Genomic DNA, 22,801 nt, shown 5'->3' with positions numbered 1-22,801 from the left:
TCCGAGCTGCACCATTTCCTTTAAGTGACAGTAGCTACATTTCCAAACATATATTGGATTTTTTTATTAACCCTAATTTATATACTCAGTATTTTAATCTTAATCCTAAAGTGTTTAGATTCAGCACGACTTGCTAGAATGAATAAAATTCACTGGATCATAAAATAAGATAGAAAAGTTAAATGATCTGAAATACATTTTATGTGAGACTTTCATTTTTCAATAAAGCTTCAGAAAACACGCCCATATTCCACAGGAAGGAATTTATTAAAGCTGCATTAGAGATTTCAATAATTTCTGATGTTCACAATGGATTATTTGGATACTTATAAATGAAGGGAAATGATTTCCATCAAAATATGCTGAATTATATTTTCTAGGAATATTTTTCCAATACAATCCCATATGGCCAAAAAACGAGCTTTTGAAAACAATGTATCTTAAAAATAATAACAGATTTTACTGAAATATCTTCATGTTCTTAATTCCCATGTAGAGAGTTTTCCAGTTCTTTAAAGTCTGGCTCAATACAGATAGCAATACGTAAGAGTTGTTTTCCCCTCCCTGGCACCTGCCTACTGAATGCTATTTTGTACTTGTCAACCACGTCCAAGTGTTGTCAGCCTACCATTTGTCAAAGGCACAAATGCTACTTGCTAAGCTTTACTGCTTCACCTTAAAAAGAAAGGGTGGCATTTCCACACAACTGTCATGGGACTGCTTACTATGCCACTTTGTTTCGATTGTTTCCCATACGGAATGGGGTGGATCCTGAGCTTCGGGTAGAAAATAAATTGTGATGAATATTAGTGAAATTCTGATGGTGTGCTGCTTTACCAAGAACATTTATTTACCCATTCACTCAGCCTTCCCCGCCTTCATAAAAGGTTGACTTGAGCAGTGGTTGAAAGCAATTGAATACTTGCTACCTTTCCAGGCCTGTGTTCAGTACTTTAAACGTTATCTCATGCACATCCCCTTGCAACTACGGGAGGCGTTGGTAGATTATGCCCATTTTGCGGAGAAAAAAACTGAAGTTCAAATAACTTTTATGTGGCCAAGTTTTTTTTTTCTTAATCGATGTGTTTATTAAAAACATGGACTAATGATTCTGTGCTTAAATGTCATTGTGGTAGTGTGCTGATTTTCATAAAACATAACTGATAATAAGGGACTCTTCACAAATACACTCCAGACAGAAGAAAAAGGTAAACAGAATTCACTGACAAAACAGTGCCATTTCAGACATAGCTCCCTTAATTCTTGCTAGCAAACGGAGTTTAACATTATTTACAATTATACCAGTATTGTCAGAGTATGTGGCCAAGTTTTCTTTCTCTCTACCCTCACTATTAGCATTTAGACAGGAATATCCAGTCCTATAATCAGTAAAGAGGGTGATTTCCAACTCTATACACAGGGTTGGGTATTTAACAAATAAATTATAGCATGTCCAATTAGATTTAAATTTCAGATACAGTTTTTTTTTAGTATAGTATGTCTCATGCTATATTTAGGGCATATTTGTATTAAAAATATTCATTGTTAATTTCAAATTCAGCATTAAATGGGCATTCTGTGTCTTATCTGGAAACACTGTTTATAAAACTAGTTTAGGCTATTAAAGTTAAATCCTCTTAATGTCTTATCAACCCAAACTCCTATGGATACAAAGCCATTTGTCACACTCTAATCTTTCCTTTGATCCCAGCTGGCCTATGTAACAGGTAGGATGATTCATATATCTCCACTGAGCATCACCTGCAACCTCCCACAGGTCCCCAGCTAAATATAACTCACCTGTCTTCTGCTTCTAGGCCTCTCTTTCAACAGTGCCATGTATCTGCTGCATTCTCTGCAGTTTTCATTTCTGACCCAACTGGAACCTCCCATTGACCTCTGACCTCTGAGGCTTTATGCTCTCTCAGTCCTGATTACTGATGGACGTTGTTTGCAACATGCCTGTCCAGGGCTCGAGCGCCCATTGGGCTGTCTCCTTGGGCTGTTTGAGATACCACTTTTATCATTTTCTCAACAGACTTAGAAAAAGTGTATTTTATCCACGACACATGTAAAGTCTGGACGCTAATGAGGTAAAAGTGAAGAAATCATGGGACTGGGGTGGAGAGAACGTAACAGATTGAATATCATCAAAATAGGAGCACGAAGCACAGTGGGGACTGGGAAGGAGAGATGTGGGGACAGGTATGTAAATGGAAGTTTCAGGCGCGTGTTTTTGACAGTGATAGATGAAAACATACATCAAGTACTGCCTTCCAGTTTGTCCCTCTTTGGGTACAAATGTCTACAAAACCTTGGATAAGTTCTTGTTGCTGGTAGGGCCATGGCAGTGGTGAAGCAAGCAAGGCACTTAGGGCACAACATCTAAGATTAAATAATGACTTGTAATTGTCTGAGACCTAGTGAGCTCTTAAAAAATGTTGGTTCTCTTAATGCTTCTGTCTTGGGAATAACTGCTTATTAAAATTGAGGTTAATTAAATTGAAATTATTGTATGAATAAAATAGAACACGAAGACCTTTGTCCAAAACCATGTGTAATTGCACAGGAAAATGAGCACTGCATTTGGAGCCATGAATGTTGGGTTCAAGTCTTAAATTGATCACACCCTGCATCATTTATACACTTTAAATCAGCTTCATTTTCTATAAAATTATGCATGTAGCGAGTCTGTTCCTCAGAATTATTTCATTAATGATCCTGTCGTCAAGGCTGCTGATAAAAAATTGTTTTTATTTATTTATTTATTTGAGACAGAGTTAGCTTCTGTTACCCAGGCTGGAGTGCAGTGGTGCAATTTTGGCTCACTGCAACCTTCACCTCCCAGGCTCAAGCGATTCTCATGTCTCAGCTTCTCAATAGCTGGGCACGTGTCACCACGCCCGGCTAACTTTTGTATTTTTAGTAGAGATGGGGGTTTCACCACATTGGCCAGGCTGGTCTTGAATTCCTGGCCTCAAGTGATTCGCCCGCCTCGGCCTCCCAAAAGATGGAATTTATGCAAGAGCTACTGTGCCTGGCCAGAGAAAAGAATGTTTAGATCTCTTTGTAGTAAGATTTGTGAAATGACTTTGAGTCACAATTGTCACAGAAATTTGTGAGCATCTTTCTGAAATAGATTGTTCATCACAAAAATTTATGATCATTAGCAACTCAACCCAAGCTGAGACCAACTTTGAGGTGGCTGCAAACTCTTTAAAGCATGTTTGTTTAGAAAGTCTTTAAGACTAAGATGAGTTTCTGTGTAGCAATAGTTTGCTGATACATGGTCCTTTAAATTCTGCTTCATCTCCTATTAACTCTAAGATTTCCCTAGTTCTCCTGGGTCCAAAGTCATTTCTCCTTCTTCTAAATATCTCTGGTATATAACATTTGCACCACCAACGGACAATTAATGCATATATTTTTATATCCCTAATCTGCTAGTAATTGCCCTGTTTAAGAGAATCTTGTACCACTTTAATCCCATAATTCCTTATGCAGCTCAGGAGATATATAAATATTTATTCCTTTGATTAGTATACTTTTTGTTCAAATCCCACGTGATTTTTATTGTTAAAAAGTTGGCTGGGCGCAATGGCTCACGCCTGTAATCCCAGCACTTTGGGAAGCCGAGGTGGGCGGATCACAAGGTCAGGAGATCGAGACCATCCTGGCTAATATGGTGAAACCCCATCTCTACTAAAAATACAAAAAAATTAGCCAGGCCGGGTGGTGGGCGCCTGTAGTCCCAGCTACTTGGGAGGCTGAGGCAGGAGAATGGTGTGAACCCGGGAGCCGGAGCTTGCAGTGAGCCGAGATGGAGCCACTGCACTCCAGCCTGGGCAACAGAGCAAGACTCCGTCTCAATAAATAAATAAATAAAAAATAAAAATAGGAAGTTGGCATTATATATGTTCTGCAGTACTAGCTCTTAACAATTCTGATTTAATTAAATTAGGATGAGGCCTAGGCATTGCTATCTAATAAAAGTTTCCCAAGAGATTATGATGTATATGAAGGATTAAGAATCACTGTTTTCAGGTTGGCTCAGAATGGATTAAGTCTTTAGAAGACTTATTTTTTAAGTTGATTTTGCCATGTTCACATACTCCAGGTAGAAATTATCTCCTGCCCTTTCATAATCTGCTCAGTTTGTTGTTGTTTTTGTTGTTTGTTGATGTCCTTCTGCTCTAGCTGTTTTTCTTATCTCATTCCTGTTCCCAAGAATTGCTGTATAAACCCCTTGGTTCCCTTTACTTTAAATACAAACAAATCCTTTAAAACCAAATTGATTCATCAGAGGAAAAAGATAGCACCAAATGGAATGTTGGTATTTTTGTAACTTCTAAGTGAACAATCCATTTTAAATGATTAATTCCATTATACTGCAATTTACATCTAGTGCTAATGAAATAAAATTAGTTTCAACATCGATTCAACCCTCTTCCCTCTCTCACATGATCTCATTAGCCTCATTGTGAATGTTTTGCTGCAATAATTTTTCTGCCATACCAGCTGCACCATTACTGGATTGTTATTATTGATTACTGAAAATCCAGATGTAAGAAAGAGGAATGGGCAGGGAGTTGATTACTATGATCAGTTTGAAGTTTAAGTGGGAGAGAAGTCATCCACAAGGTATCTATTCTCTTCATATATTTTCTAGAGGAAAGGGTGGGTTTCTGACACCAAGTATATTAAAAAGCCCTTATATAGATGCAGGTTCTAAAACAGTTTTCAGGGATGTGGCTTAGAGAATGTCTTAGTCTATGTGTTGCTATAACACACTACCTGAGGCTGGGTAATTTTTAAAGAAAAGAGATTGATTTGGCTCATAAGTCTGGTGACTTAAAAGTCTAAGATTGGGCAGCTGCATCTGGCAAGGGTCTCAGGCTGCTTCCACTAATGGGAAAAACAAAAGTAGGGGGATGTATGAAAAGAGATCATATGTCAAGAGAGAGAAACCTAGGAAGGCAGACTCATTTTAGCAACCTGCTCACAGGAGAACTAATCATTCTCATGAGAGCAACAATGCACTCACCCCTTGAGAGGGCATTAAGCTATTCATGAGGGTTGCATGCCCAAGACCAGGCCCCACCTCTTAACACTACCACACTGGGGATCAAGTTTCAACATAAATTTTGGCAGGAACAAACCACAATCAAACCATAACAGAGGCCTTGATTTATTACATAAAATAATGATGTTACATAGGATAAGTACATTTCAGTATTTATAGTACTTTTTCATCTACAATCCTGGATGATCTTCATGAAAAACCTAAGAAATCAGAAATATAAACACTTAGCCATACTCTATTAATGGAGAAACTATAAATCGGAGGACTTGTGTAATTGACATTTGGCTCCTTGGTGGTAGAGAGGTGACCAGACTTCTCCTGTCCCCAGTATCTCTAAAAGCAGGAATGAGAAACAAGGATGGGAGCTTTGGGGAAACCTAACTGGTATGTTAACTTATGCAGTAGGGACAGATAATTCTATGTGAGAAACAGCTATGTCTCTAATATACTCCCTAATATTAAAATGGAAAATATGGCCAGGAGCGGTGGCTCACGCCTGTAATCCCAGCACTTTGGGAGGCCAAGGCGGGCAGATCATGAGGTCAGAACATTGAGACCATCCTGGTTAACACGGTGAAACCCCATCTCTACTAAAATACAAAAAATTAGCCAGACATGGTGGCACGTGCCTGTAGTCTCAGCCACTTGGGAGGCTGAGGCAAGAGAATCGCTTGAACCTGGGAGGTGGAGGTTGCAGTGAGCCGAGATCTCACCATTGCACTCCAGCCTGGGTGACAGAGCGAGACTCTGTCTCAAAAAAAAAAAAAAAACCAAAATAGAAAATATGACCCCTAGATGCCACACTAAATATGCCACGGTGTCAGACATGCCAACATGTAAGGTACCCAGTGCCTGGTCCAGAGAGACACCTCAACCAATAGTGTTGAATAAATAAATCATTTCCTCTCATAAAGACACAATTTAAAACCAATTCCCCCGATGGAGCACGTTATATTAAACCATACTAAACACATATAAAATGTGTCTGTAACATTAGGCAATAAGTCCCCTAGTAAAAGTCCGAGGGACTATGGCATGACACAGATATATTTTGACCGTCAGGTGAGGAGCAGACTCAAAGGCTTTTATTTTAGGAGGGCAGAGTTAGAGAAATGTTGAAACACAGTGCCTTTCAATATTCAAAAATGCAGAATGGAAGAAAGTGGGTGCACCAGCCAGTACCACTCAAGAAGAGATATGAGGCCAATATTTTCTGTTTCACTATTTCTCAGAGAGTCATATCTCCACAGCATATAATAGTGGAGAGAATACTGACTGCAATCACAGATGCAAAATTCCTTTCATCTTTGTTTTAGCTGAGTGATGTTGAAATCTTGTTTAATGTTTCTGAGTCTCTGTGTTTTCATTAGAAAAAAGTCAGGAAATTTTGTAACAAATGATCAAGTCCACTAATAGATTTTTTTAATCGGCCTAGAATATAATACTAAAAAAATTTGCCCTATTTCCTCTTCTTCATCTCTTTCCTCTAGTAACTATTAGAATCCTCAAATCCTCTAGGTTTTAAAGCACTTATTTTTGTGAGTGGTTAAAAATTCAGAAAGAGAAATCCTACTACAGAAGGTCAAATCTTGTCTTCATCACTTATAACTGTCATCTTGGGCAAGCAATCTAATCGCTCTTTATTCCAAGAATTCCAGGAACTCATCATTTATAAAAGGGTATCTACTAAATCGGGTTACAGTAAAACATATATGAAAAAATATAGGGAAGGTCTCTGTGCATAACTTATTGCAAGTGCTCAGTGAGCCCTGCCGGTCCCTGCCTTGTCTTACAGGGACTGAAGCACCCGTCTACCTTCACTCCATCTTGTTGACGAGGCTCTCCTTTTTTTTTTTTTTTTTTTTTAATTATTATACTTTAAGTTTTAGGGTACATGTGCACAATGTGCAGGTTTGTTACATATGTATACATGTGCCATGCTGGTGCGCTGCCCCACTAACTCGTCATCTAGCATTAGGTATATCTCCCAATGCTATCCCTCCCACCTCCCCCCACCCCACCACAGTCCCCAGAGTGTGATATTCCCCTTCCTGTGTCCATGTGATCTCATTGTTCAATTCCCACCTATGAGTGAGAATATGCGGTGTTTGGTTTTTTGTTCTTGCAATAGTTTACTGAGAATGATGATTTCCAATTTCATCCATGTCCCTACAAAGGACATGAACTCATCATTTTTTATGGCTGCATAGTATTCCATGGTGTATATGTGCCACATTTTCTTAATCCAGTCTATCATTGTTGGACATTTGGCTTGGTTCCAAGTCTTTGCTATTGTGAATAAAGCTGCAGTAAACATATGTGTGCATGTGTCTTTATAGCAGCATGATTTATAGTCCTTTGGGTATATACCCAGTAATGGGATGGCTAGGTCAAATGGTATTTCTAGTTCTAGATCCCTGAGGAATCGCCGCACTGACTTCCACAATGGTTGAACTAGTGAACTAGTTTACAGTCCCACCAACTTGATAGTGTGCTAGTGATCTGTGGGACACCCGGTTTGGCTAGTGCCCTTTTCCTGCAGCAGAATGCCTTTTTCTCTGTCTGCTAGCATCACTGGCCCTCTCAGTGCCTCTTCATGGAGCGAGATCCTCCCACTGGGCATCTTTGCTTCAGGCAAGCGAGCCCAGCCAGGTGCTTTTAGGGTTTTTGGGAGTTCCCAGGTGATGGTCACCCTTACAGCTGTTGGCAAGATGAAGTTGCATACTTAACCTTACTCTGGTTTGCATATGTAGGATAAAATAAGCTCATTGAGCTTTAAAAGTATTGTGATGATTATATTTTAAAATAGAAATAATTTGATTTGAAATCTGACATTCACACTTCTCTTTTCCAGATATTCTCAAATGAAACATAGGTTCATTTCAGTATTGATGATCTATATCAAATCATCACATAAGACCTGTCTGAAGTCAAATAACATATTAAATCTATTTTATTTTAAAGTAGAGTTTTTTAAACACATGCTTAGCTATTCAATGTTTTTAAGCTAAACCAATTCTTATGAGAATGGCAAAATTGCAGATGGCAAGTATTATTGCTAACATTATATTAGTCAATCAACCCCTTGGTTACAATGGTTTTTAAAAATTCTTCCACACCTGCATTTTATTTTGTTTTCAAGCACACTTCAGCATATATGCACACCATCCTAAAATCCCAGAAAACTTCCCTTTTGTACCCATTTGAAAAGTACTTAATCTCTCCTCTTATTTCCAGATTCCTACCAAAGGTAGGGTTAGTGACTGGATTAGAGGAGAGCATAGAGGATTTGTCACCTGCTTCAGTCTTTGCTCCTTTCCTTGTTAGCTGTTTGACCTTGGATACTCTCCTGAGCCTTGCTGAGCCTCCGATCCCTGGCAACTGGCTCTGAAGCTTAGCTACCACGGCATGTGGAAGGGCCCAGCCCTCACTGGGGCCCTTAGAAAATTCAAGAAGAAAGAAGACAATAATATATTTTTTGGGGAGTAGCAGCAGATCCTGGATATTCATTTTCTTTTCTTAGTACTCAGCAATAGCCCCAAAGAAAGAATAATTTCTCACCAAATAATACAATATGAGTTAATCAGTTTTTTTTCCCATTCAGCTGGAATTCTGTGTACTAAAGGTATTTACACTGAATTTTCATTTGGACTAAAAGCTTGAGATTGGTAGTCATCTGTGCTTTTGATGAGTAAAGTTAATTTTTATGTTTTAAAGCGGCCATATTGCCTAAATCTTGACAGTCCTATAGGAAAAATAATAACAGGGAAACTTGGTGCTAAAATGTAAGCTCCTAACCCAAAACTAAGGCTTTAACATTTAGAATGTGTGGCCACATCATGCTATGAAATAAATAGAATTTTTGTCTCAGTTATTCTTCATTCTTCTGGTCAACAGGGGAAACACAAATAATTTATGGGAGAATTAGCTTTACCCTCTTCATCAGAACAATGCTACCAAATGACTATTTTCACCTTCCTATTTCCAACCTTTCATTATCATATGTTCTCTTACCTTATTCTCTTAGCACTCTTAAGGGTTTACAGGCAAGAATTGCAACAAATAAGGAAACTGAGATCCGAGAAAGCTAAGAGAATCACATGAGATGAGAGAATTATTAAGTGACTAGTCTTGAGCCAAATTAGGGTCCTGATTTGCCAAGGATCGTTCTAGTTCACACGTATTACCTCAACATAATTATTAAATGATTCCCCTTAACTCTCAAAAAAGAATTTGACTGATTCCTTGGTCACTCTAAGTAGAACACACATTTCCTTAGCCCCAGTCCTGTGCCCTTTCCACTGCATGAAGCTGGGCTTAAATGTATCTGCTCCTTCAGAAAACTAACATCCTGTTTCAGTCCGTGTCTCACTACTTTTGCTGCTTCAGAGCAGAGTGGAGATAAACCGTAGGTGTAGTCAATGCCATCTCTGCACTAATAAAGCTTCTGTTTCCCGGTCAGCTTCCTGCAGGGCAAGAGCTCCTTTTCAAATTACGATCAAGAGCATTAATTTATCAGACATCATGCTGAATATGCCCTGAAGTTTGGTTTGTTTTTTCTATCATTACATCTCCCCAGAGTTGCAGTCAAGAAAAGTCTAAATTATTACTGTAATTATATAAAAAGATCAAAGAACTGGCATTAATTTCTACTTAGTGGACAGTTTAATAGTTCAACCAAATTCCATTAAATCTGATATCATCATTAATAAATATCAACATTTTTATCTAACATTCAAAGAGTTTCACTTTGTCTTTGTGTTTCCTTCAAAATTTGAATTTAAATTTAAACCATCTGTTCCTTTTGAACACAACACATCACACTTACCTGTCCAGCCTGAACGTTGCAAGTTGCCTATGAGATCACTCTAGGTCTCATTAGCATCAGGCTCATGAATGCACACAGTGAAGAGCTGGCAGTGTGAAATGGAACCCAGCAAGCTAGTCTTCAGTTTGGTTAGTAAAATAAAGCACAACTAAATATAAAACCTCTTGCACGTAGATAGCTCTTCATGGCTTTTTGTTGTTTTTGTTTTGAATTTGTTTTGTAAAGCCTAGCAGCTTTGTGATATAAACAGGCCAGGTGTTATCAAAAGTCTGTAGATCTAGAAATGAGGCTCATTCACTTTGGTTCATTCACTCTTCTCTTTTTTTTTTCCTTTTTTCTGTCCACCACCATTCTTCCTGAAGTTCCAGTTTGTCCATTGAGGTTTTCAGTATTTCTTCTAACTGGACAATTTTCCCACCCTCATCATCCCAGAGCTGTAGTCAGCTGGCTCTCAAGGACTCCCCATCAGTGCAGGCGTCCCTGCAGATGACCTCCTAGTATGGCCAGGAATCCCTAAGAAGACCTAGTCGCCTACAAATGAGGGGCCTGCCTGCAGATACATAAATACAGGCCTTGTCGAGCACATGGGCAGACGGCCTGCCCAGAGCCAGCCTTCTCTTGGCACTAAGAATATCAGGTAATTACAAAATGTTGCCTCTTAGCCTCCCAAAGCTTTCAGCCTACTTGGGAAAGCAAGCATTAAGAAAATAAGTTCAAGGCCAGGCACAGTAGTTCACTCCTGTAATCCCAGCATTTTGGGAAGCTGAGGCAGGAGGACCACTTAAGCTCAGGAATTCCAGACTAGCCCTGGCAATATAGCAAGATCTTGCCTCCATAAATAAATAAATAAGCCAGGCATGTTGTCACATGCCCTCAATCCCAGCTACTTGGGGGACTGAGGTGGGAAGATAACTTGAGCCGGAGAGATCGAGGCTGCAGTGAGGCCTGATCATGCCATTGCACTTTAGCCTGGGTGACAGACCCAGACCCTGTCTCAAAAAAAAAAAAAAAAGAAAAGAAAAAAAAGAAAAAGAAAATAAGTAAATAAGTTCAAGTGTGAAGTGATTCACCTGTTCTTATAAAATGACAGAAGCTGGTGGCCTACAGTTTGTAGAGTTGGGATGTCTGCCTCTTTGAAGAAATGACAGTTAAGCTGAGATATGAATAGAAATAAGAGTTGGTCAAGAAATACAAGTCAAGCTTATGATGACTCTTACAGAAGCAATTTTAATAATAAGATACACTGACTCTTTCTCAGTTGAATCTTTGGAATATCATCTTTGTCACTCACAACACCTTGATATTTTTCACCCAGCTTCATTTCAGGGTCTCTAACATAGCCCTCATGTCATAGATTCTACTAAGTGTCAGCTCATTCCCTGAGAGATGAGCCACAGTTCCAGTGTTTTTTGTTTGTTTGTTTTTGTTTTTGTTTTTTTCGGATTCCAGTTTTGTTCAGAGTAATAAGGGGTAAGTGACTTAAGAGGCAAATACCACTGAAGTATGAGCTGTGAAAATATCCCAAAGAAACACAGGGCAGGCTGGGGTGATACAGCACATCAGAAAGGCACAGATATGAGTTCTCCAAGACTAGCTGTGTTTGCAGCAAGATTCTGTGGCCTCAGGAATCCTGGTTGGGGACCCCAAGCTGACCTGCAAAGCCAACACTGATGACTGCCCAGGGCTGCCAGACAGAACAGTCTATGTTATCACAGCAAAGGAGCTCAGGGATAAAAGACCGAAGGAAGGTTTCAGCAGGAGTCCTGTAGATGACCAGGAAGGCTTGTGGGAGGGGAAAAGAGAGACGCATAAAGGGCCCCCCGACTTTGGGGATGCAGCAATCTGGGATTCAGTTCCATGTGTTACTCCCTTGCTGGGCAATGTAAACTAGTCTCTAGGTCATGCAGAGCCTTAATATATGAACTAAGACTGCAAACTGTAGCACTTAGAGACAGTGCACATATGGCAATGAACATCCATCTTGGCACTTGATAGTGTGCAGTAAGAAATAGATATTTTTATTATCGACAGTTGTTAGAAACCAGACTGGGTTTAAGATACGTTCAGACAGGGATGGGTGCACAAAGAACACACAGCAGATGCTGTCTGGAATTGGTGGGGCAGCAAGCTGGGAAGACAGAAAAGCAACCTGTATCAGGGCTCTTCTCTCCCTGAAAAGGTACAAGAGGAGCAGAGGAGAGAATGCATGCATGGCAGGGCCCCGGGAACCCGGACTCAGGCCAGAGCAGCACCAAGGATAAGTTGGGCTCAGCAGCAGCAGCAGCAGCAGCAGCAACAGCAGCAGCAGCAGCAACAGCAGCAGCAGCAGCAGCAGCAGCAGCAGCAGCAAAGCTTTTTTGATGTGGTGACAGTGAATCCTACAGATCCAGTGCCCGGGATTCTGCAGCCACCACCGCAGTCCTCATGACTGGTGACTTTCCCTCTGCTTTAGGCACCAGCTGGTCTGAGGAGACAAGGCAGTAATTAGAATAATTAGGACAAATCATCACAGTGAATTAATGAATCACCAGCCTCCCCCTGGCACGATGGAAGGGTTCAACAAAGAGTGTAACTCCTGGAAATGCCATGGACAATAAATATTCCTGAACTTCTGTGGCACTGCCCGTGTCCAGGGGACAGTTCATTAGGAGGAAAACAACTTTCCCTGTTCCAGATTTGGCTGATCTGGCCAATTTGAACACATGTTTAACTGAATTTTTATTAAGATAAGATCCTGGGGGTTAGACCATGTGACAACATGAAAGCATTACAAATGCAATTATTAAGGTGGAGCCACATGCAAATGATCTTTCTCTAAAAAGAGAGAAAAAGTAAAAACACTACAGGGTTCATTTTCCTTTACTCTGGTTCCTGAACTACAGGCAGGATTTTGGCATTTCAGCAGACAGTCATTGTGATGTGTGACCGTATTTCATTCACCAGGAATCAGCGGGTACAAAGCACTGAGTTTCATATGACGCACATACTGTGATATAGACACTATGCTAAACATGTGACATAAAGGGGTTTTGGTATTTAATACTCACAATAATTATATAAAATATATGTTATTATCTCCAGATTACATAAGAGAAAACTAAAAGTTAGATCGATTATGTACCCTGCCTGAGGTTGCACAGAGAGGAAATGATGGATGAGACTCCCGTCAAGAGTCCACTTCTCTGCCTATTTTCTTCTTAACGTGACTCCACAAGTCGCTATTATAGTAGCTTTGTCTTGTTGAGAATTGCTTCTCTGCTCTGCAGCACTTTCCTGAAAAATAAAGCCTGATTAGCTGAGATTGACGTGTAAGGTAAAATGTAAAAGACTTTGCATTCAATGATTGTACATACCCTCTACTGTGCCAGAGTGTCCCTCAAATTTGCTCTTCTGTTCTTTGAATTCTGAAACTGAATGCATTTTGAGTTGCTGGTGTTCATTCAGAAAATTAATTTGGAAGGAACAAACAAGAAACTTTATTTTCCAGGTGTGTAGCTGTCATCAGTAATGTTCTGGACAAACATCTGTAATATCACCAATGGCAGAAGACCAGCATGGAAGAAATAACCTTCAGATTGGTGCAATCATTGCTCTGAGTCTTCTAGAGCTAACAAATAATAGACATTTGCAAGATGGTGGTAAAGTCATCCAGGAGGCATTGAGGAAGGTTGACGCAGATAATATTTCCTCAAGAGGATGGGCCCAGGCTCTGTGATCTAGCCAACACAGGTGCATGAAAAACAAGTTTAAAAAAATTACTTCAGGTTCCTAATGACTTTGGAGAAATGGGATAATTACCCATCATACCATTTCTGTCAAAACCCAATGACTTTGAGATTGGATGATGGCACCCATGTATTCTTATCTTTCAGACAAGAAGAACTACCATTCAACACATTTCCTCATTTAAATATCATAACACAGTTAGAAGACAGACAATATTTATTCCCATTATGAGGAAAAAAAGAAAAATTGAGTCTTGCAGACAGTAGGCAAAACTAAGAGGGTCACAGTCAAATACTAATAGAACTGGGATTCACAACTGTCTTTAAGGACAGAATTTCAGGCATCTGAAAATGACTATATGTATATGTTTGTTTATGTACACGTGTATGTACATGTATGTATACATAAATGCATATACTTTGAAGAGTGGAATAATTTCAGTGCTCTTCAAATCACTCCACATTTTTATGTTTAAGTATATAATGTCACCTCCTTACTACAGTCTTGAAATGTAACTTTTTAAAATGATATCTTAAAACTGTAAAGGAGTGGTAGGCTAGAAATCCTATTAGCCAAGTCTCTTATTTTATTAAAAAAAAAAAAAAAAAAAGGACTCAAAGCCCCAAGGGCTGTGCCGAATTGCACAGGACTCACAGAAAGCTAGTACCTGAGCCAGAAATTTCACCAGGGGTCTTCTGTGCCAATCACAGCCTTTATCCTGCTTTTAGTCCTCGGCCTCATCGGTGGCAAAGCATTCAGACACTACACACACACACCCCAAGGGGAAGAAAAGCTATTTTTCGTCCCAGATTGCATTTCCTTTTCTGAAACCTCCACTAACTCTTCTCCTGGAACGCCCAGGTATTCACTCTATTAGCATCCTCTCTGAAGAAACAGAAAAGGTGATTAGAAACAAAGGAAGAAAAGCTAGGGAAACTCCTACTCCCGCCTGCCGCTTTGAATGCCACTCCGATGTCCTCCACTTTCTTTACATATTCCCCTGCGCTGCGTGCCTATTGTGAGCACTAATGAACCTGCAGCCGGCCTCCAGGAGAGCGCTGCAGACGCACCTGGCGCCCAGAGAGGCGGACCAGGCTGCCCCAAAGGGAGCAGCCAGATGCAGGAGGAGGAGGCTTCCCAGAGAAGACTTCCACTGCCGGCTTCTTTTCTTCTGTCTTCCGAAGGAAAAAAAAAAGAAGTCAGGGAGGAATTCAATAACAACTCAGCCAAACACCAAGACAGCCACAAAAGAATAGCCTCTTCCAGAAGGTGGGATGAATAGCGAAGCATCCAAGGGAGGCCACCGGCGCTCCTCGGGCGCTCTGAGCGGCCCCTTACACAGGGCGATCTGCATTCCTAAGAATTAGAAGATTCTAGTGCGGTCCACAGGCTCCGTGCCCATTCCCCTCTGACACTTTCTTTGTTCTGCTTTAGGAATTTGTTAAGTTTGGGCTTATGTTCCTGCTGGAGGAGCAACGCTGGCACCTGAATTACAGCCCGATGGCGGGGGATGAGCTGAGTGCTGAGCCTCCGCGAGGGAAGCGCTGTTCAAGCTGCTGGTTGACTTTTCCTGGGGCTGGGGGATCCACCTTCACCAGTCAGCAGAAGTTAGACCGCCTCACAGGCACTCTGTGTTGCTCTCAGTGCTGGAGGCCAGGACCTGAGGGCCGAGGACAGAGCTTGGACAGAGAGGACCGCAGCCTGGGTTTCCCTTGGCCACTGGGAGCACTGGCATCCTTGGCCAAGTTACTGCTTCCCTTTGACGCTCAGCTTCCTCCTGTGTTAATATTTATTTGGTCTGAGGCAGTGCTCTCAGATATGAAACCCATCTCCAAAGAAAATTTTACAAGGAAGCCCTATTTGTAGAACAAATAGAAACTACTCTAATTAAAGCAGCTGGAAGATGAGTAGGGTGTTAGACCGAGGAATTTTAATATTTGTTATACTTAACATCTGGAAACCAATCGTTTCAAGTATAATTCTTGATTACTTACTTTGGCTGAAGCTGCTCACAAAAAAACAAGATATTCTCTGACCACCTAATGAAAACACTCTGCCCCCGGGAGCTCTCTGTGCCTTACACTGACGTACTTTTCCTTCTACTGTTTATCGCCTCTGATGCTATATTATGAATTTATTTGCTTATGTCCTTATTGTATATTTTTCTCATTAGACGCACACTCCATCAGGATCAGGGTTCTTTTCGTTTTATTTGCCATTATATTTCTAGCACTCAAAATAACGCCTGGCACATAATAAATACTTGTTGAATATATGTCTGGATTTCCCAGAATTTAATTGGAATTCTCATGTTCCCCCAAACTTGTATACATGTAGGGCCACCTCAAAGTCTGAGCGGTGAGATGAGTGTTCCCTTGCTCAAGAGTTATTTTCTCTGGGGGAAAAAAATTGAGATGTTTAATTCCTAAGAAGTGCAAATTCTACATATTTTGCTGTACCAAAAATAATCACCCTCTTCATAAAAATTTCAAAGGCACAAGGAGGACCTCAGCATGCATTCCAGAAAAAAAGGCTGAAAAGGGTAGAGCAGCAGAGGCTGGTGCCATACAGTCGACCCATGAGCACTGTGTATGTATGGCCAGGGAGCTCCAGGACACCACTCATCAACTAGAGAGCTCTATAATCAGCAGCAGAGAGCAGGCAGCCTCAGGCTTCAGACTCCTAAAAGTTTTGACTGCATCCCAGGAAATGTCTGAAAATTTGAACAAGTGTGAATTACTGGGTTATTAACACAATTCTTCACAATGGTTCAGGTGCCCTTAGAAGACTTTCGGCCCCTCTTAGGGATGGTGCTAGCCTTTCCCTCTGGAGGAGAATTGCGCAGCGGAAGGAGGCCAGGCTTGGGCTTTAGAGTTGTGTTAAAACTCAGTTCAAATCTACTACTCACTGATTCTGGGAACTTCGAATTTCTATGTCTTACATGTAAAATAAGGTTAGACATAGCTCTCTAATAGGAGTTTGTAATAATTGCAGATACTGTTTATAAAACATCCACCATAGTGCAGAACACAGAGCATTATTATTTTCCACCACTATGACTATAGTTGATGCAATATTAAAAGGTAAGATGCATATATTAACTTCAGTCAACATAAAGAGACATTCTGTGTGGCTACATTACAGCATAAAGCAAGGATGAAGCATAAACCTTCTGAAAATCCAGTGTTTATTAACATAGCTAAGATAAATGGCACTGCCCACAATATACAAAATAAGGGAAAAACATTTAATCTCTCTGTTTCTTTCTGTCTTTTACTTTACTTTTCAAATTGATGGAAAAAGTTCTTTCCACTTTGTTTAAAGTAATTCAATTCAGATACGAGGTCTCAATATATGACTCTGACTTTAACACATTCCAAATTCTTTTCAAATGTATTTTAAATATAAAAAATGTAACCAAACAAAATGTTTTCACTCATAATTTAGTTTCAAGATGGTAGCCTGAATCACAAGGTATAATTCACGGTCCTTCTATAGTATTTGGCAATATGCTTTAGAAGGAAATATGCTCAATGTTTAAAATCTTGGGCTCTGGAGAAGAAAATTCCCAGAACTGTCACTTCTGAGCTGACTGAATTTGGCCCAACTGTAAAATGGTTCTAATAGCCTCTATCTCTTGGGGATGCTATGAGGATGAATTTAAATATGCATATAAAACATTTTTAATAGAACTTGACACATTATAAGCCTTCAAAGAATGTTTTCTGCTGTAATTTTTTATTATTTTGTTTTTATCATCAAAAGTTATAAAGCAGATATTGAAAAATGTCACATCTTTAAAACCCCTCACAGAAAGCAATAATTTTTTTTTTTTTCCTAAGGGTAATGTGGACCTTTGACTCATGCCAGTTGAGCAGAATACTGTTTGTTCCAAACACTATCAAATTTCTCAAAATTGATCTTCAAAGATTTAAAGCAGAGTGGTGTCTACATAATAATGAATATCTACAAACAAAAGAAAATATTAATGATGTATACAGATGTTCCCAAACATATGAGTTGCTTTCTTAAAAATAATCCTGTACTTCTTTAGTGTACAAAGACTTAGATATTTTAATTTCTTAGATCTAGTAAACATAACAATCATTATACTCAAGATGAGTTTACCCAAAATGCACATTTCTCAAATAAAGTCAAAACTATACATGATACTTAAGCAATCAAAAGTTTCATAATTAATTAAAGAAAGATCCAGGGACATAGAACAAAATTTGGTTAAAGGTGAAAAATCTTTTAGTGCTTTGTCAATTCTCATTATCAGGACTTTTTTCTCTGACTTTTTTCCTCTGTCCTGTAGACATCATCCTTCCAAAACCAAGAGAGCCACAATCCTTGTCTCTGAATTGAATAATCATTCTATTCTGTTGCTTTTCCAAACTTCTCCAGATCACAGAAGTTTGGAGTTAGAAGCGCTCTTACCCAGGGGGTGTCTAGCATGGCGGTTCAGGAAATGCACTGTGGAAGCCTATAGACTTGGCTTTAGAATAAGTTTGGCCATTTATGAACTCTAGTTCTCTTCGCACAAGTTACCAAATGTCATCAAGCTTCACTTGCCCCAACTATAAAATGAAGCTAACAACAACAACCTTGCAGGGTTGTTAAGGAGACTGAATTAAAAAATGGATATGAAGTGCTCAACTCAATGGCATAATAGAACTTGTTTCTTTTCCGTAAGATGATACTTGCTCAGAATGTAATTGGATGAGCCTCAGAATGCAATGTTTCATGGTATTTTCCCAGAAAAATAATTCATTTATTGAAATATTAGACTATGTTGAAAGATATTTAAACGAAGCTGAATGGAAGATAATAATATTAATACTAAATATCACAGACACTCTAGGTATGAATATAAAAAACTGTCCATTTATCTTACAAGATCTTGATCCTTTTGGCTGGTTTGGTTGTTTTGTTGGGGGTGGTAGTGATGTTGTTTATTTGTTTTATTGTTGTTTTTATTTTCTATAAAATGTTTACATATCTGAAGCAATTAGATTTAAGATTTCACTTACTTTGTCTTGCGTTTTAGGCTCTGTTGAGGAACACTACTTAAAACAAATTTTAACAGCTATTATATACCCCCCAAATTTAAAAAATAATAAAAAATAAAATAAAGTGAGCCTAATACTATATTTAATGTTATAACCTACCTAGATAAAATACTGGGGTCATAGTAAGCCCCAATAAAAACGTATAGTTTCTTAAGAAAATAATTATAACACCAAAATATATGGTCACAGTTGAAAAAGCAGATACCTAGATGCACTGGCAGCAATGGTTCTACCCATAAGCTTGAAGCCACACAGTTCTGGTATGTCCGCTTTCTGACTTTTTCCCTCTGTCCTGCAGACATCATCCTCCCAAAACCAAGAGAGAGAACCTTAGCCACAATCCTTGACTCTGAATTGAAAAATCATTCTATTCTGTTGCTTTTCTAAGTTGCCAAAGGCCATTTTCACATTTGGAAGAGGGATTATCCATCCCTAGAAAATTTCTAAATCCCCTCAACTTTTTCCATATTTTCCCCTATAAATGATTTGGCTTTCCCTCTTGCTTATTCTCAGAAAACACTCTAAGTTAATTTTCTTGATAGCACTTTCCTCAACACAGAAGCCTCCCTTCCTTCTGCAGGCAAAGTGCTTCTCTATAATGCACAGCTGGCGATAGCCAATCTCTCACCCCAGGCCCCAAGTGTGCCTCACCTTACTCTCTGACCTAGTGGAGGCAAACAAAGTATTTGATCACTGTTTTCTTAGAGCCTAGGTTTTTCACTGAAAAGCATTCCTTATGGGTTAGTATAGAACAAACCAGCGTGGCAATGGCACTGCTAACTGGTTAGTTGTTGTCCTCTGGGATCCAAAGTAAAGATGACCTTCGCCTTCTGTCATCTTCTAAAGTTCTGACCCATAACTGCCCTGGTGGATTTTGGATAGAGGAGTGGTAATAGTGCAACAGGTTCATCTAGCCTGCTGCCGAGAAAGTCAAATGTACTGAGAAGAACAGGTATTACAGCAAAGAAATGAGTTTAATATCACAATGCCAGCCAAGTGAAGAGAACAGGGAGAAACTTCTTAAACCCACCCTTCCATGAGAATTTGAAGGTGTGGGTTTTTTAGGGTACTTTGGCAAGCAGGGGGCTGGGAAACTGAAACAACTGATGAAATCACAGAGGTGTCTAAAACAGCCTTCATGCAGCTGAGTCAGTTTTTGGGAGGGAGTCTCAGAACTTGGTGGCAGCTCTTGGTCTGCTGAAATGCTAAATCTGAAAAATATCTCAGTGGTGATGTTGTCTATGGTGATGATGTAGGTGGGAAGTAACACCCCCCACCTACCCAAGCCCAGTTACATGACTTTGGGGCAGCAAACAACTTACAGGAAAACAAGCTAAGCCATGGCAGGTTATGGTTTAACAATGCCTATTCTTTAGAAAAGTACAACCTGTGCCATAATTCTAACATTGCCCTATGAATCTGGCTTCAATCTTCCAGCAAGGAGGAGGGGCAATTTCCCTAGCCTCAAAGTTTAACTAAAACTAAATTTCTCTCATAGTTATCTTGGCCTCCATGCTAGATTAAGAAAATAAAAATAGTCTGTGAGGTTAGAAGCAAGGTGGAGTCATTCATATTAGATTTATCTCATTACCTATAATTCTTCAAAGGCAGTTTCAGAGACACATTTCCCAAAAGAAGCAATACTTTTTAGAGACTGCACTATAAATCCAAATGTAGAGAAAAACACAAAAGCCATACCAAACACACATAAACAAACACACACTAAATTTACCTGACTCTACAGGGGCACCATCTTGCTAATAAACTCAATTTGCATGACTAATAAAACACTTCCCTCTCAGTTCCAAGCTGGTTTCTTATACATAAGCATTACAAAAAAAAAAAAAATTCCTAATGTGACCCCCTTTTTTTTTTTTGAGATGGCAGGCTGGAGTGCAGGGGTGCGATCTCGGCTCACTGCAAGCTCCGTCTCCTAGTTCAAGCGATTCCCCTGCCTCAGCCTCCCAAGTAGCTGGGACTACAGGTGTGTGCCTCTATGCCCAGCTAACTTTTGTATTTTTAGTAGAGACAGGGTTTCACCATGTTGGCCAGGCTGGTCTCAATCTCCTGACCTCGTGATTTGCCCCCCTTGGCCTCCCAAAGTGCGGGGATTAGAGGCGTGAGCCAGCATGACAGGCCTACCCTTTTCAAGACAAAGAGAACACTGATTTCAAAGATAAATGCCCTGTATGATTCCTAGCCAACTGCCAAATGATAGAACTTCAACAGGTTTTTGAGGAAGTGCCATTGAACACTTCATCCGTTGTACCTTTTCTCAAAACCAGTAGTGAAAAAATATTTTGCAGTCCTGCAACCCTTGCCGATATTAGATAAAATTGAAAATCATTCAGCAATGCCTATCAACTATTTACTGAGAGTCATATGGTACTGTTTTTTTAATTCAGAGAGAGAGAAAAAATATTTATATAGCATAAGTTCTGGCTTTGAGGGGCTCATAGTTCACAAGAGCAAATAAGAGAGGCACGCAGCCAGTGGCAATTTAAAGTAGAAAACAATTGCTATGGCAGAGATTTAAAAGCTATGAATATTCAGAGGAAAAAGAAATTACCTTGTTTGGAAAAATCTGAAAATCTTCAAGGATAGAAGGATTTGGATTATACTTTGAAGGATTAAATAGATTTACAGACATCTTGATGGAAAAGAGTAAGAATATTTGAGGCCGAAAATCCAACAAGATCTAAGTTATGAAGACTGAAAAACATATTAAGTGAACAGTGTATACTAAATTAGCTTGTCAGTTACTGGTAAAAAAAAAATCTTAAACAAAAATTTAAAAAATATATATAACATTTAATGTCTGTTTTCATCTCTTTCTTTTGCTATAAATGAATACCTGAGGTTGGGTAATTTATGGAAAAATGTTTATTTGGCTCACAGTTCTGCTGGCTGGAAGATTGGGTGTCAGGTGAAAGCCTCAGGCTTCCACTCATGTTGGAAGGTGAAGGGGAACCTGTGTGTGACCAGGAGATGCCAGGATATTTTTAACAATCAGCTCTCATGGGAACTAATAGAGTGAGAACTCACTCATTATTGTGAGGATGGCACCAAGCCCTTCATAAAGGACCCGCCCCTGTGAACTTAATGCTTCCCAGTAGATCCCACCTCCAACATTGGGGATCACATTTCAACATGAGGCTTGGGGAGACACGCATCTAAACCATGACAATGTTCTTTATGATTACTCAAGAGCCATTCAGTTGCCTTGTACAGAAATAATTTCATTTTAACCTCACCAGCACCCATTAAAGAAAAGCAGGTATTGGCCGGGAGCAGTGGCTCAAGCTTGTAATCCCAGTACTTCGGGAGGCTGAAGAGGGAGGATCCCTTGAGTCTAGGAGTTCAACACCAGCCTGGGTGACATAGCGAAACCCCATCTCTATCAAAAATACAAAAATCAGCCAGGCATGATGGCACATGCCTGTAGTTCCAGCTACTCAGGAGGCTGAGGCAGGAGGACCACTTGAGCCCAGGAGGTGAAGGTTGCAGTGAGTTGAGATCACGCTACTGCACACTAACTTGAGTAATGGAGCAAAGTCCTGTCTCAAAAAAAAAAAAAAAGCAAGTATTTATATAGCAGAGTGCCTGATATTTAGTCAAACTCTAAAATCATAGCAACTATAATATTATTAGTAGTAGCCAACCACAGAAATGGGAAACTAAAACTCCTTCTTCAGGCTGAGTTCTTCCTATAATTGCTTGCTATTCTAACCAAATAAATATATATTTGAATCCGGTGTTAAATTCTATAATCTAATTGATGTACTGCATTAAGTAATGCATCCTAGAAATGCATTACACACCGGGAAAGTAGTTAAAATTAGTATTTTAAGTGGATTTTTTAACAAAGCCTCCAACTCCATGTACATGAAGAAACAGTCAGATAAATAATGCTAGAATGAAATCCAGAGTTAATACAAGGATGCTTTCCAGAAAGGTCTGGGGACAGGCAGTGTGGTGGTAGGCTCTGACTGCCCACATGTGCCGTGCATCATATGTGACTTACTGCAGGTTGCTGTGTATGTTTCATCTGCTGGGAACAGGAAAATGGCTGGGTGAATTCCCTTTTAGTTT

At 39.6% G+C, this 22,801-nt stretch overlaps 1 long non-coding RNA gene across 1 annotated transcript, besides 1 other annotated feature; it reads right to left on the bottom strand.

Annotated features, from left to right (window-relative positions):
- Positions 1–11,118: 11,118 nt before the first annotated feature.
- Positions 11,119–16,947, bottom strand: LOC107985943 (uncharacterized). The gene is made up of 2 exons (XR_001739690.2): positions 13,265–16,947; positions 11,119–13,184 (listed from the first exon to the last, which is right to left on the bottom strand). It is a non-coding gene; the product is annotated as an uncharacterized LOC107985943 (long non-coding RNA).
- Positions 14,311–14,969: an enhancer, noted in NCBI's record as "OCT4-NANOG-H3K27ac-H3K4me1 hESC enhancer chr2:123418771-123419429 (GRCh37/hg19 assembly coordinates)". NCBI's record gives its function as "activates a minimal SCP1, AML or CMV promoter by ChIP-STARR-seq in primed H9 embryonic stem cells {active_cell/tissue: H9 hESC(primed)}" and the evidence as "EXISTENCE:reporter gene assay evidence [ECO:0000049][PMID:30033119]".
- Positions 16,948–22,801: the final 5,854 nt, after the last annotated feature.

Source organism: Homo sapiens, chromosome 2, assembly GCF_000001405.40.
Source record: "Homo sapiens chromosome 2, GRCh38.p14 Primary Assembly".
Classification (NCBI taxonomy): Eukaryota; Metazoa; Chordata; class Mammalia; order Primates; family Hominidae; genus Homo; species Homo sapiens.
The sequence above is the reverse complement of the archived record's forward strand: the minus strand, read 5'-3'. Positions and strand labels throughout refer to the sequence as shown.